This window comes from Homo sapiens, chromosome 8 (genome assembly GCF_000001405.40).
Source record: "Homo sapiens chromosome 8, GRCh38.p14 Primary Assembly".
Taxonomy (NCBI): domain Eukaryota; kingdom Metazoa; phylum Chordata; class Mammalia; order Primates; family Hominidae; genus Homo; species Homo sapiens.
In genome coordinates, this window is record NC_000008.11 from 120,213,355 (window position 1) to 120,227,127 (window position 13,773).

At 38.4% G+C, this 13,773-nt stretch overlaps 1 protein-coding gene across 11 annotated transcripts in view; it reads left to right on the forward strand.

The window, feature by feature from the left end:
* The window catches only part of COL14A1 (collagen type XIV alpha 1 chain), a 249,120-nt gene that overhangs the window by 88,901 nt on the left and 146,446 nt on the right, over window positions 1–13,773 (forward strand). For all 11 annotated transcript variants that reach the window (NM_001413490.1, NM_001413491.1, NM_001413493.1 and 8 more), the window contains 3 exons: window positions 2,997–3,136; window positions 11,734–11,860; window positions 13,273–13,412. In NM_001413490.1, coding sequence (NP_001400419.1) covers window positions 2,997–3,136; window positions 11,734–11,860; window positions 13,273–13,412 — 407 coding nt within the window. The remainder of the gene's footprint in view (window positions 1–2,996; window positions 3,137–11,733; window positions 11,861–13,272; window positions 13,413–13,773) is intronic.

Here is a 13,773-nt window from a genome sequence, read left to right on the forward strand (position 1 = left end):
CTCACCACTCTTCTCCTAGACTCGGGAGATGAATAGCACAATTTCTACAATGCCTTTCTCATTAAGATTCCATTTGGGAAAACAAAATAGAAGTTTAATGATAAAGAAGTTTGCACACATCCACTCTTTGTTAGTCAAGACTATGTTATTCTTGCTCTTCGGAGAAAGACCAATGTAATTAAAACAACAAAGAAACAAACAAAAGCTCTGGGAGAGCCCAAGAAAGAAAAAGAAAAGAAATAAATCATGCTAGAAAGCATCCACCACATAAGTGAATTCTGGGACTCTAACCATTTGAAAGAAAAGCTTTCCCCAACAGCCCATCTCTGTTTCACTCAAAGTGTTCACTTCTTTATACTTCTTAAAAATATGTACAACTCCTTCCCATGATTAGCAAAAAGGTCCTAAAAAATGATATCCTAGATACTTGTTCCTGAGGCTGGCATTTTTATGTGCTAAGTAAATTAGACACTATTCTATTATATTGCCAAATGTAATAGAATTCCAGAAAAATTTAGAGCCAAATGTGCACACTACTTAATTATATTGCTTTTTTTTCTTTTCTACACTTTCTCTCTAGCACCTTAATTATTAAGAGATTCACTAACTCCTACAAGATCTTTATTGTCAAAGAATCAGTATGTATTGAATTAATGAAAGAACTGGGCTTTGAGGTTAGGAAACATCATGCTTCGTGGCTATGGCTGGTAATTGTCATGATTTGTCTTCAAGTTTTTTGCTTTGCTGGCTCTATCAGCACTGACTTTGTGGGATGAGAGAGTGTGAGTAAGAGAGAGAAACAGTGAGAGAGGAGAAATTAGCATCCTGGTTAATATCATGGGCTCTGGAATCAGTTAATCAATTTTCTAGGTTAAATTCTAATTGCTCTTCTGTTCCTAGTAACTGGGACGTTGGCCAAGTTACTTCAATTTTGTGATCAATATAGTGGGGATAATTGCAACTCTATCCTTGCATTCTAATGTAAGAATTTAATAAGTTAACATATGCTATGTGTCAGACTCATGGACAACACTCAGTAAATGTTAACAATTATTTTTACAATAAGCCTGTAAAGAGCTCATGAAGCTGTCAAAAATTATGGACAATTTTTAATTTGTTGAATTAGATAGGGGTCCTTGAAGAGGTTCAAAAAGCTATGGAATTGACAGTTAGGAATCTGCAGAAATGCCAATACCTCTTTAAATAATTTTAAAGCAATAGTAAGATGTTTATTTTTATTTGTCTCACAAAGCCACTGTGATTTATTCAGGTCAAATAATTACCCATTGATTCAATGAATGTTTATTGAGTACTTGCTATATTGGGGATAGATCTGGGAACAAAATGAAACCAAATTATCTAACCCCCTGAGATTACAATATCCTGGGGGAGAGAGACAATAAGCCAGAAATATACGGTGAAAAAAAATAGAACAGAAGAAGGAGACAGGTAGTATGGAGTGGAAGAGCTGTTGCACGTAAGATGATCATAGAAAGCTTCACCAAGCAGGTGGCATATGGTCAGAAACCTGAAAGAGGCAAAGAAACTGGCTATGCGTATATCTAGGGGAAGAGCCTTGAAGGCAAAGAGAAGGCAAGTGCAGTGGCCTATGAATGAGCATGCGTGGCAGGTTCCAGTCACAGCTAGTGGCATGGAAAAGGCACGGAGTAGTAGCAGATGGAACCAGTGAAATAGCAGCAGGCCACTGATGTAGGGCCATAAAGACCATTCTAGGCTTGCTGCGGTGGCTCACGCCTGTAGTGCCAGCACTTTGGGAGGCCAAGGCAGGCAGATCACCTGAGGTCAGGAGTTCAAGACCAGCCTGGCCAACATGGTGAAACCCCCGTCTCTACCAAAAATATAAAAACTAGCAAGGTGTGGTGACACACGCCTGTAATCCCAGCTACTCAGGAGGCTGAGGCATGAGAATCACTTAAATCTGGGAGGTGGAGTTTGCAGTAAGCTGAGATCCTTCCACTGCACCCCACCCTGGATGACAGAGTGAGACTCTGTCAGAAAGAAAGAAAGAAAAGAAAGGAAGGAAGGAAGGAAGGAAGGTAGGAAGGAAGGAAGGGAGGGGAAAAAAGAAAAGAAAAGAAAAGATCATGCTAAGAACTGTGGGTTTACGCTGAGGGAGTTGGGAACCATTTGGAAGGTTTTGTGCAGAGAAGTGAAATTACCTGGCTGACATTTTAAAAGAAGCACTCTGGCTGCTTGCTGAGGAATAATTATATTAATAGTAGGGGGAAGATGGAAGTTGGGAGATTGGCTGGGAGACCATGGCAAAAATCCAAGCCAAGAGGGGATAGTGGCTTCTACCAAGATGGTGGCAGTGGAGGTGAAGAGAAGGGGTCAGATCTGGATAATGGATTAGAAGTGGGTTGCGAGAGAAAGAGCAATCCAGGAGGCTCCAAGGTTTTTGACTGATCAGTGGGAAGGATAGAGTTTCCATTTGCTCAGAGGGGAAGACTGAGGGAAGAGGCAAGAGGGGAAGGCATCAAGAGTCAGTGATTCTGTTTGGACTGGTTAAGTTGGAGTTGCCTAATAGATACCAACGTGGAAATGGCAGATGGGCATCTCATTTTACATGTGGAAAATTGTGGAGCTTAGAGGTAGAGTGGCTTTGCCAGAGTCACATGGTAATTGAGTGGACTAGCTAAAATTTTATTTCAAGTTACTTTGTTTTTAATCCATTAAGTTTCCTACTTACATCAAGCTAGAGTGATAGGCCGAGAAAATTTACCTAAATCCTATTTATTTCTAACCATGTGTAACTTATTACTGCTATTTATTCTCTACAAAGAAAACTTTTTTCTTTGCTAATTAGAGAACATTATTGATTTTTATGAGACAATACACTGGTTATTTCAGTGTTATAAGTTATTATCTAGGTGACACTTTTCATATGTAAATAGTTTAGAAGTCAAAGATGCAATTTCTTTTTACATGTATGTAATTTGACATTTTAATTATTTTCTATTCCATTTACTGCCAAGTGGCTTTAAGTCCACCAAGAAACCTGAGAATCTCCAATGTTGGCTCTAACAGTGCTCGATTAACCTGGGACCCAACTTCAAGACAGATCAATGGTTATCGAATTGTATATAACAATGCAGATGGGACTGAAATCAATGAGGTAAGTTCCGGGACATAATGTATATTTTTTAGGTAGTGGCGTGCTAGTTATTTATGGCTACATAACCAATCATCTCAAAGCCTAGTGGCTTAAAATAATAGTAATTATTTATTGTCTCGCATAGTTCCTGTATGTAGGTCAGGAATTGGGGTGTGGATTGCAGTTATCACTGGAGGAGGGGTGCTCCCCAGTGAGGTTAGGGCCAGATAGTGGCTGGAGCTGGAGCTATCTCATGGCATCTTTACTCATGTATCTGGTGCCTGGTCTGGGGAGCCTGGAACAGCTGGGAGCTGTAGCAGGTCTCCATATCTCTAATTAGACCCTTCACATGATGCCTTCAGCATGCAGCTTCAGGGGAGTTGGCTCAGGAGTCCCATGACCCATGTCCAAACAGAGAGAGAGCTAAGTAGAAGCTGTACCACCATTAATGACCCAGCCTCTGAAGTCACTTGATATCACCTCTATCACACTCCATTAGTATGAGATGTCACCAGCTTCACCCAGATTTATAGGTGGGGAGAAACACAGATCCTACCTATGGTGGGAGACAGGTCAGTCACAGGATAGGAGGAGCATATAGAGAAGAAGATATTCATTGATGTGGCCATCTCTGGAAAATGCAGCCTGCCACAGGGGATGGGGGTGGGGAAGGTGTATGTTCATGGAAGCATTGTATTAAAAATAATGTCACTGTTGTCTAGTTTATCCTGCTTTTGAGTAAACTGGCATCTGAAAGGCTCTAGTTAGATGAGCCTAAATTTAACAAATAATTCAAGTTTTATCTAAGAAGTACTTTCAGATAATGGAACTTGTTAAAACCCATGAAGATACAGTATCTTGCATGCAGTGACTAATACTTTCAAAAAAGTGTTTCCTTGGAAATGTGTTTTAGCAAAACAGCGAGGTTATTTTTATTTTATTTTCCCTTATCTTGGTCCAGTAAGCTAAGGCAAAGAAGGAAATATGTTAGATTGCATCATTTCTATTTTCTGACCAAATAAAGCAAGTGTTTTTATATGCAGAGACAAACATTTTTCTAAAATTAAATCCAAGCAATATTTTACAAAATGCATCCTCATGAGGGACATTGTGTAATGGACGGGCAGTAAGTACACATTTGCTAACATATAGAAATACTGTTCAATATCCTTCATTAAACCTTTGTAAATCTTGAGAGTAAATAATCCTGAAGAGTCTGGTCATTTGGATGAGTTGCTTTGTTATTGAAGATAGCAGCCTGGAGCAGTAAAAAGATTGAAATAAAAAAACACTGAGCTATAGGTGTCTCTTTGTCACCAGAAATACATAAACTACTTTCCCAAGGGTTAATTCAACTGTGTAGGAGGATGAGGAAGATAATATAAATGAGTGAAGCATGCCATTAAATCTGTAGAAGCAGACACACCTGCAAAGAAATACTCTATGTTTTGCTTGACACATGAGGCTAACTTAGGCTATATTATATAATATATATAATTTAAATATATAATATATATTTACAAATATATATTATATATTTAAATTATATATTATAAATATAAATAAATATATATTATATATCTATTTTTATGTATCTATATATAAATATATAATATATAAATATAAATACATAAATATATAAGTATATATCTATATAAAAATATATAATATATAAATATAAATAAATATATAAATATAAATATATATAAATATATAAGTATATATCTATATATAAATATATAATATATAAATATAAATAAATATATAAATATAAATATATAAGTATATGTCTATATATATATAATATATAAATAGATATATAATATATATAATATATATCATATATATATACATATTTGAGATGGAGTCTCACTTTGTTGCCCAGGCTGGAGTGCAGTGGCATGATCTCAGCTCACTGCAAACTTTACCTCCCGAATTCAAGTGATTCTCTTGGCTCAGCCTCCTGAGTAGCTGGGACTACAGGCGTGCGCCACTGTGCCCAGCTAATTTTTGCATTTTTAGTAGAGACAGGGTTTCACCATGTTGTGCAGGCTAGTCTCAAACTCCTGACCTCAGGCAATCCGCCCGCCTAGGCCTCCCAAAGTGCTGGGATTACAGGCGTGAACCACTGCTCCCAGCCTAACTTAGGCTATATTTTGTCTTCCCATTTTGAGGACATGAATGCAGAAGAAATTCTCTACTGAAAGAAAGACAACAAACAAGACTAATGATAAGTGACAACGGACAGTGAGTTTCAATGACAAGGATACTAGGGACTGGTGGATGGGAAGTGTGTGCATCCAGGACGCAGCCAGTCTCAGCTTCTACTTATTGCTGCTCGATAGAAATCCAGGCAGGGGCTGCCAGATCTTAAGATTCCTGGAGAGATACCAGTGATTTCTATTTTTATATAAAACCTATCAATTTAAAAGAGTTGACTCATTGAACAACGAAAGTAACATGACTATATTCCCCAATAAATATTTGTTCATTGTAGAGCATCCTCCTTTGGTAATAATTTTTAATAAAACAAAAAACAAATTTTCTTATATATCAGTTATATTTATAAATATAATTATATAATAATAATCATAAGCATTCTTTTAGTCCATTTGGTTTACTGTAACAAAATACCTTGCCTGGGGAACTTTTGTTTATTTATTTATTTAGAGACGGGGTCTCTGTTGCCTAGGTTGAAGTGCAGTAGTGTGATCGTGGCTCACTGCATCCTCGACCTTGCAGGCTCAGGTGATCCTCCCACCTCAGCCTCCCGAGTAGCTGGGACTACACATGCCACCATGCCTAGCTAATTTTTGTACAGACGAGGTTTTGCCATGTGGCCCAGGCTGGTCTCAAACTCCTGGGCTCAAGGGATTCATCTGCCTTGGCCTCCCAAAGTGCTGGAATTATAGGAGTGAGGCACTGTGCCCAGCTTGGGAAACTTACCAATGACAGAAATTTATTGTTCACAGTTCTAGAAGCTGAGAAGTCTAAGATCAAGGCACCTGCACCTGAATTTGCAGGTGTATTCCTCATAGTTGGAGCTTTCTACCTGTGCCCTTACCTGGTGGAAGGAGCAGACAAGCTCCCATGGGCCTCTCTAATGTGGACATTCATCCCTCATGACCTAATCATTTCTCAAAGACCCCATCTCTTAATACTACTGCATTGGGGATCAGGTAGCAACATATGAATCTTCAGGGGGACACAACCTTCCAGACCATAGCAACTGCTATAGCTTCTTCTACTATTTTCTGTTATTTGTCTTTGCAAAGAATAGCCCCAGACTAACATGTTTGTTGAGAACATATGTTTGGGGGTTTTTTTGGTAGTGTTTTTCAGTCTTGGGGAAGCTGCTAGCATTTGCTATTTCTGGGAAATTAGAAAGCTATGTTTGGTAAAACCAAACTTAAAATATGAGAAAATGGGCTATGAATGAAGATTTGAGAAAATTTTGAGTAAAATGCATAAGCCATGCATGGATTTTGTAACATCGGTTTTGACTAGGGTGTGTATGTGTGTGTGTGTGTGTGTTTTTCTTATTTCTTAATTCATAGCCATGCTATAGATACTTGAGGTTGCTGGATAAGCATCTTTTACTGAAGTGAAGTATTACTGTACCTAATTTTAGAATATATAATTTTAAGGATGAATATTTCTATTAGATTTTGCTTTAATTTCTATGAATTTAAGCTTCTATTTATAGACAATGCAACAATTGGGTTTTTAAGAAATCCTCAAAAAACATTCTGGAATGAACTGTAAAATGTCCCAATTAAAATCTGCTTAGTACCCAACATGCAATTGATTTTTTTTTTTTTTTGAGATGAAGTCTTGTTTTGTCTCCAGGCTGGAGTGCAGTGGCACGATCTTGGCTCACTGCAATCTCCGCCTCCTGGGTTCAAGCGATTCTCCTGCCTCAGCCACCCGAGTAGCTGGGACTATAGGCACGCACCACCACGCCCAGCTAATTTTTGTATTTTTAGTAGAGATAGGGTTTCACCATGTTGGCCAGGATGGTCTCGATCTCTTGACCTCGTGATCTGCCCACCTCGGCCTCCAAAAGTGCTGGGATTACAGGTGTGAGCCACCGCGCCCAGCCCATGCAATTGATTATTAACGCTTTTGATTTACACTCAATATTTTCTGCTTCGCTTCCTCTCATCTTCCTTCTCTCACTTCCTCTTCCTCCCTCTGCATCTTTTCTGCATTACCCCTCTCCCCAACTTTTTGGAGACCAGGAAGAAAAACGAAACAAGTATTTCAACAAATGTCTATGCTGCTGCTGCTGCTAATTGATGATGATAATGATGGTGATGATGGTGATGATAATGGTGATGATGGTGATGATGATGGTGATAATGATAATGATGGTGATGATTATGGTGATGATGATGATGATGACAACGATGATAATAATGGTGATGATTATAATGGTGGCTAACATTTGTTGAGTGCTTCCCATGAGCCAGGCACTGTTCCGAGTGCTCTAAAGAGAATATCTCATGTAATCCTTACAGAACCAAATGCTGACAGCATGACTTGTCAAACTACGGACAGAAGTCATCTCAGGTAGCATTTACTGTGAAAGGATTTTGGAAGTACACAAACATGATGGAGAATTAAGTGCTGCCATTTGAGTTTTATAAATGCAAAGGCCACAGTTTTTGGATTTTGAGAGGCCGGTTCCTAATAGCAGTGACTCAGCAGTAGAGCCTGGAGTTGAGCCCAAATCCCTTGTTCCTCATCAGGGCCCTTTTCTACATCCCTTCTAAAATTAGGCTGAAGTTAAACTTTTAGCTAGACTGATTGAGGATAATTCTCAGAAACAGTTTCATAACAATGAGATCATGGTTATTTGTTATTATTTCCTCAAATTTTTCTTCTACATCTTAAAATACTACCAGCAAAATCAGTTCTGGGACTAATCGTTTAAAACATGATATTTTAACTAATATAAATAAATGATACCTAAAGGTCTTCATTAGATGAAGTAAAATAATCAATGCTGAAATTATGTAAAATATAGTCTATTCAGCATCAAATATTTAATAAACAATATCCTTTTTAACAGATACACACACACACATGCACACACACACACACACACACACGTTTCTCCTTTTAGTCCTTCTTCCTCTTTGGTGTACCTAAGGATCTAGGACCTAGATTTTAACTGCTTTTGTGTATATTTGATATCTTTGCAAAATTCCTATTTGTCACATATTTGAAACTTAGAAACAAGGTCAAGGCCTAACTAGACATTCCAGTTAATAATTTTTTGGCTCAGGGCAAGTTAGTTAAGCTGTTTGGGCCTCAGGTTTTCCTTCGGAAAATAGTTGTAAAAGCACCTAGTGTTTGATAGGTAAAGGTGGGTGGGAGAGACTCTAAATAAGACAATATGTATCAAGTCCCTGACTCTTTGTAAGTGCTCAATAAATCTCAGCCATGACAATTCAAAACATCAGAAAGCAATATGTAACTAGAGGTTAGGAAAATATGTCTTGAACTCACATTTTTTTAACATGGGTTGTATTTTCTGTGAGCTTAAATAATGAAGCCATACTTTAAATAGTGTTTAAGAGCATAGGATTTAGAGCCTGAAACACCTGTGTTTAAGTCCTGTGTACTAGCTGTTTTCCCCTTGGGCAAGTTCCTTAATTTTTGGAATCACATTTTTCCATTTTCAAATTGGGAGTAATAATTAGCTCCCCTACAGGATTGTGATAAGGATTAAATAAGTGAATGCATATAAAGCATGCAGACAGTTTGCAGGCTGCAGCAAACAATAAGTGCTAAAAATGACCTATAATGTTATCAATCCCTGATTTAGAAGAAGATAATCCATATTTTCAATTAACCATTGCCGTGTAACCAACACTACAGCTTAAAATACAGCCTAGGAGCATGCAGCTTGGGCAGAACTCAGCAGGGACAGCTGGGCTCTGCCATGTGGTGTCAGCTGGGGTGATTCTTGCATTCATCTGGGAGTCTGACTTGACCAGAACTTCTAGGATGACTTCATATCCATGTGTGACCCCTCAACTGGAGTGTCTGAAAAGGCTGGGATTCTCTGGCCCTCTCCAGAAGAGTGGCTCAGTACAGCACAATGGTACAGTACAATGACAGCTCTTTTTTCCAGGGTTGGCACTCTTTTTTGACCTACAGACGTGTAGATTCTTTAGAGGTGTATTTGGCTTCTGGACTGGCCCTTAGATTAGAGAAGACCTTTCTCACCTCTTTTAAGAAACAGTTTTTTTGGTGCCTTCATCTTCATTTTAATTTACTTATTCTATTCACTCAAAAAAAAATAATTCAACATACAGTGGTGAAGAAACTAAACAAGTTCTTGCCCTCAAGGAGCTTAAACTCTATGCAGGAGATAGACAATAAACATGTAGGTAAATAAAGTAATTTCAGGTTGCCATTGGTGCCAAGGAGGAAACAACAAGGCCGGTGTCAGAGAATAACCCTACTTATAGGTGGAAAGAGAAATCTCCTCTGAGGAGGTGATAGTTAAGCATAGTCATGATAGAGGAAGAAGGCCTAATTTCGACAAGAGCTGGGGAATAGGGTCACAGACAGAGTGAACTGCATGTGCTAAGGCCCTGAGGTGGGAAAGGCAAGGACCTGAAAGGAGGCCAGTGTGGCTGGAACCCAAAAGGCCACTGGAGTATGGCAGAAAGAAAAGGTGCTGCCCCAGATTATGAAGGCCAAGAGGTATCTCAGGGTGCTTGGTTTTGATTCAGAGTGCAATAGACAGCCAATGAAGGTTTAAGTAGAGAGGTGACATTTTATATTTTGCTAAAGGTTACTTTGCCATGAGCAAACACATACAGTGTTGAGCTTAGTGACCTTCCCCTGAACCTCAGGTAGCATCAAGATTAGTCACTGATAGTATCATAAATAAGAGATCTTGGCTGGGTGCAGTGGCTCACGCTTGTAATCCCAGCACTTTGGGAGGCCGAGGTGGGTGGATCACTAGAGGCCAGGAGTTTGAGACCAGCCTGGCCAACATGGTGAAACCCTGTCTCTACTAAAAATACAAAAATTAGCCGGATCTGGTGGCGCATGCCTGTAATCCCAGCTACACAGGAGGCTGAGGCAAGAGAATAGCTTGAAACCTGGAGGCGGAGGTTGCAGTGAGCCAAGATCGTGGCACTGCACTCCAACCTGGCTGACAAGAGCAAGAACCTGTCTCCAAAAAACAACAACAAAAAAAGGGATCTTATTGCTCTGCTCAAATGTCTCATGAGAACATTTTAAGCAGAGCTTATTTTTGGCAGAGGTTGCTCTCAGGTAAATATGGTCATTTCTTAAATTTTCCAGAGTATCACCACAGTTGGGGCACCTCATTATGCATTATTATAAGTCCTTGTGAGGATTAAAGAGAATATATGTGAAATACCTAGGTGTGGGCCCCATATATGTGGTCTACAATATGCACCCTGTACTATGCAGCGCTGCAGCCCCGTGCCCAACACCTCAGTGACAAAGCTGCATCTGTTCTTTCTCTTGCCTTGAGGGTGCCTTCTAGACCCTGCCCTCATCTCCTTTTTTTTTTTTTTTTTTTTTGAGACAGAGTCTCATTCTGTCACCCAGGCTGGAGTGCAGTGGCATGATCTCAGCTCACTGCAACCTCTGTCACCCTGGTTCAAGCGATTCTCCTGCCATGGCCTCCTGAGTAGCTGGGATTGCAGGTGCGCACCACAACACCCAGCTAATTTTTGTATTTTTAGTACAGATGGGGTTTCACCATGTTGGCCAGGCTGGTCTTGAACTCCCAACCTCAAGTGATCTACCTGCCTCGGCCTCCCAAAGTGCTGGGATTGCAGGCGTGTAATCGTGTAGCACAATATCTAATGAGGAGTTTGCTAACACAATGCTGGTTAAGCCACCTACTGTGAAAAGGAAAATGAATCCTAGGGCTCAGAGTACTGCGGGGGATCATTTGGTGTTGCTCCCGTGAAGCCCAACCCACCCATCTTCTCTTACTTTATGGTTTCTTTTTTCAATGTATGTTTTTTGTTGTCAAGTTCTCTTTTCTAATCCTTAATTTTTCTTACACCCTTGATCTCCATTCCTTGGGATTTCATCTTTTATATGCCCCAAAGAAGTTGGAAAATATTTTCACCAAATATGTCTTTCTGTGGAAGATAGAGGAATGTTTCAAATATTTACTATTTTCTTTAGTATTAATGTTCCCTGATTCTTTCCCAGCATCATTGCTCACCTGTACAACTCTTATAGGAGCTATCATGTATTACTTAGCTATGGGGCCAGGAGAGCCCACGCAGTGAAGCAAAAAACTGGCTGCTACTAGCAGATCTAACTGGAAACATTATCTCTATTTATGTCTGCCTCTTAAGTTGTCTGCACTTTGTGTCTGGAATGAATGGAAAGAATATTGATTGCAAAGTTGTCCTGAGAATTCACTGATGGGTAATCTAAGGGTGTAAGATCAGAAATGTTCATACATAAACTGGTTTTATAATTCAGTAATTTGTTTTGCAGTGTTTATAGCTTTGCTGTCAGCTAAGCGAGCTACAGACAATAATAAAATGATTCTTATACTTAGCATTAGATAGAGCTGTTATTATGACTTATTTCTTTGACAGGTTGAAGTCGATCCTATTACTACCTTCCCTCTGAAGGGCTTGACACCTCTCACAGAGTATACTATTGCTATTTTCTCCATCTATGATGAAGGACAGTCAGAGCCTCTGACTGGAGTTTTTACCACCGGTAAGCAGCCTCATTATGGTTTGAAAAGTTTTGAGAGTAGCTATTAATATATAGAAACCAGAACCTGGAGCACCTTCTTTATTTGTGATTTTGAAGAGATTAAATTTTAATTTTTATTTCTTTTATGTTATTAAAAAATAAACAATTGGATGACTATTATGTGTAGTGGCTAATTATTTTTTATCAAAGCAAGGAAGAGAGAGAAAAGACCACCTAAATTCAAAAGGTCTGTTTTTAAAAAAATGTATGTTTTTCTCTTCCTAATCTTATATCTTTTACTTTCATTCCTTAGTGTAAAACTTCTACATCCTTCTTCCATTCAAATGAGTGTGTGTATTAAGTTGAATTTCCAAAATTGCTGATCTCCAACAGTTTTGGCCCACAAAAATGACAGTCTCATACTATTTAGCTCAATATATCAGTCGATGATTTTCCCCGAGCCTGAAATCTTCATATAATAATAAGTAATATTTTAAACACTAAAATTAAATATAAGACATGAATACATTATTTTTCTTTTCTATATGTACCCTGTAGCCACTTTTTATCTCTTGGTGGCAACAATTCTATTATTTGCTTTCTGAACTTATCATGGATTGCACTTGGAAACAAATGTAGTCTCTACTGAGGAGATGAGACGGTAATTTGGAGACAGATGAAAAAGAAGCTGGATTGAGAAATAATGTTTGTGGAAAAATTCAGTAATTTAACCAAATCTCCAGAAGGCTAATTCTAGTTGGGATTCTCATGGTGTCCTATCAAAAAGTTGGGTTTTTATGTTTTTTTTTTTGTTTTTAAACTCTGACTTCAAATAATAAAAATCAATTCTTTGATAATTTATTTTGGGTGCAGTTGGGTGTTATACTTTCTGTTGTACATCCCAGAAGTGTGTAAGCTCTGAAACAGTGGAAGGCCTGATAAATTCTATTTCATTTCTGATGACCACCATATGTACAAGTTAAAAGATTGAAGTTTCTTTTCCAGGATTAATACCAGGGAGCAATTTAGCCACTAAAGCAAATAGAACTAAAAGGGAAGCTTTCTTAGGCCCCTATTTTGTTAATTTCCTCAAGATACTTGGAAAATAATATTTAAAAAAAAAATGAATATGGCACTCTTGTTTTTTATAGTTAATGAAAACAGCCAAATAGAAAAGCTAAGAGTTTTGGAAATTACTGGAAAAGTTTTAAGATCTGTTATTTCCATGGTTTCCCTAATTTATGATATTGGTGAATGCTGGAAACAGAAATGGAAGGCCACCCTGGACTGATGGGCCCCAGTTTTCCTTCTTTCCTGTGCTTTCCTAAAGCAAAAGATTCCTCAAAGAGTCTTCTACACCCCTGGGAGATACTTGGGTTTTGGCTTTCTTGCCTTCTCATTTCCCTAACAAAACCTCCTTCCTCGGTTTACAGAGGAAGTTCCAGCCCAGCAATACTTAGAAATTGATGAGGTGACGACAGACAGTTTTAGGGTGACCTGGCATCCCCTCTCAGCTGATGAAGGGCTACACAAATTGATGTGGATTCCAGTCTATGGGGGGAAGACTGAGGAGGTGAGTTTTCTGAAACAGACTGAAAATTAATCTGGAGCATTAGTGAATACCTACTGCTGCTGGAGTTGGTCTTCACTTTAAAATATATTAGGAATCCCAGAAGTAATTAGTATTTTACATGGCTTGGAGTTTTAGAAATGTCAAATCATAAGATTTTCCTAATATTATGATGTATTGTTGCCAGAGCTTTAGTTATATATTTATATATTTTCAGATTCTTTGACTTTAATAAATGACATTTAATACAACTTTAAAATGTCACTTTTGCAATATTAATAATTTATTTGCTGAGGGGATTGAAAGGAATAAAGTCTCTGGCTTGACCTTAAAATGGACTTCGACAGCCTTGGAGTTCTTTATG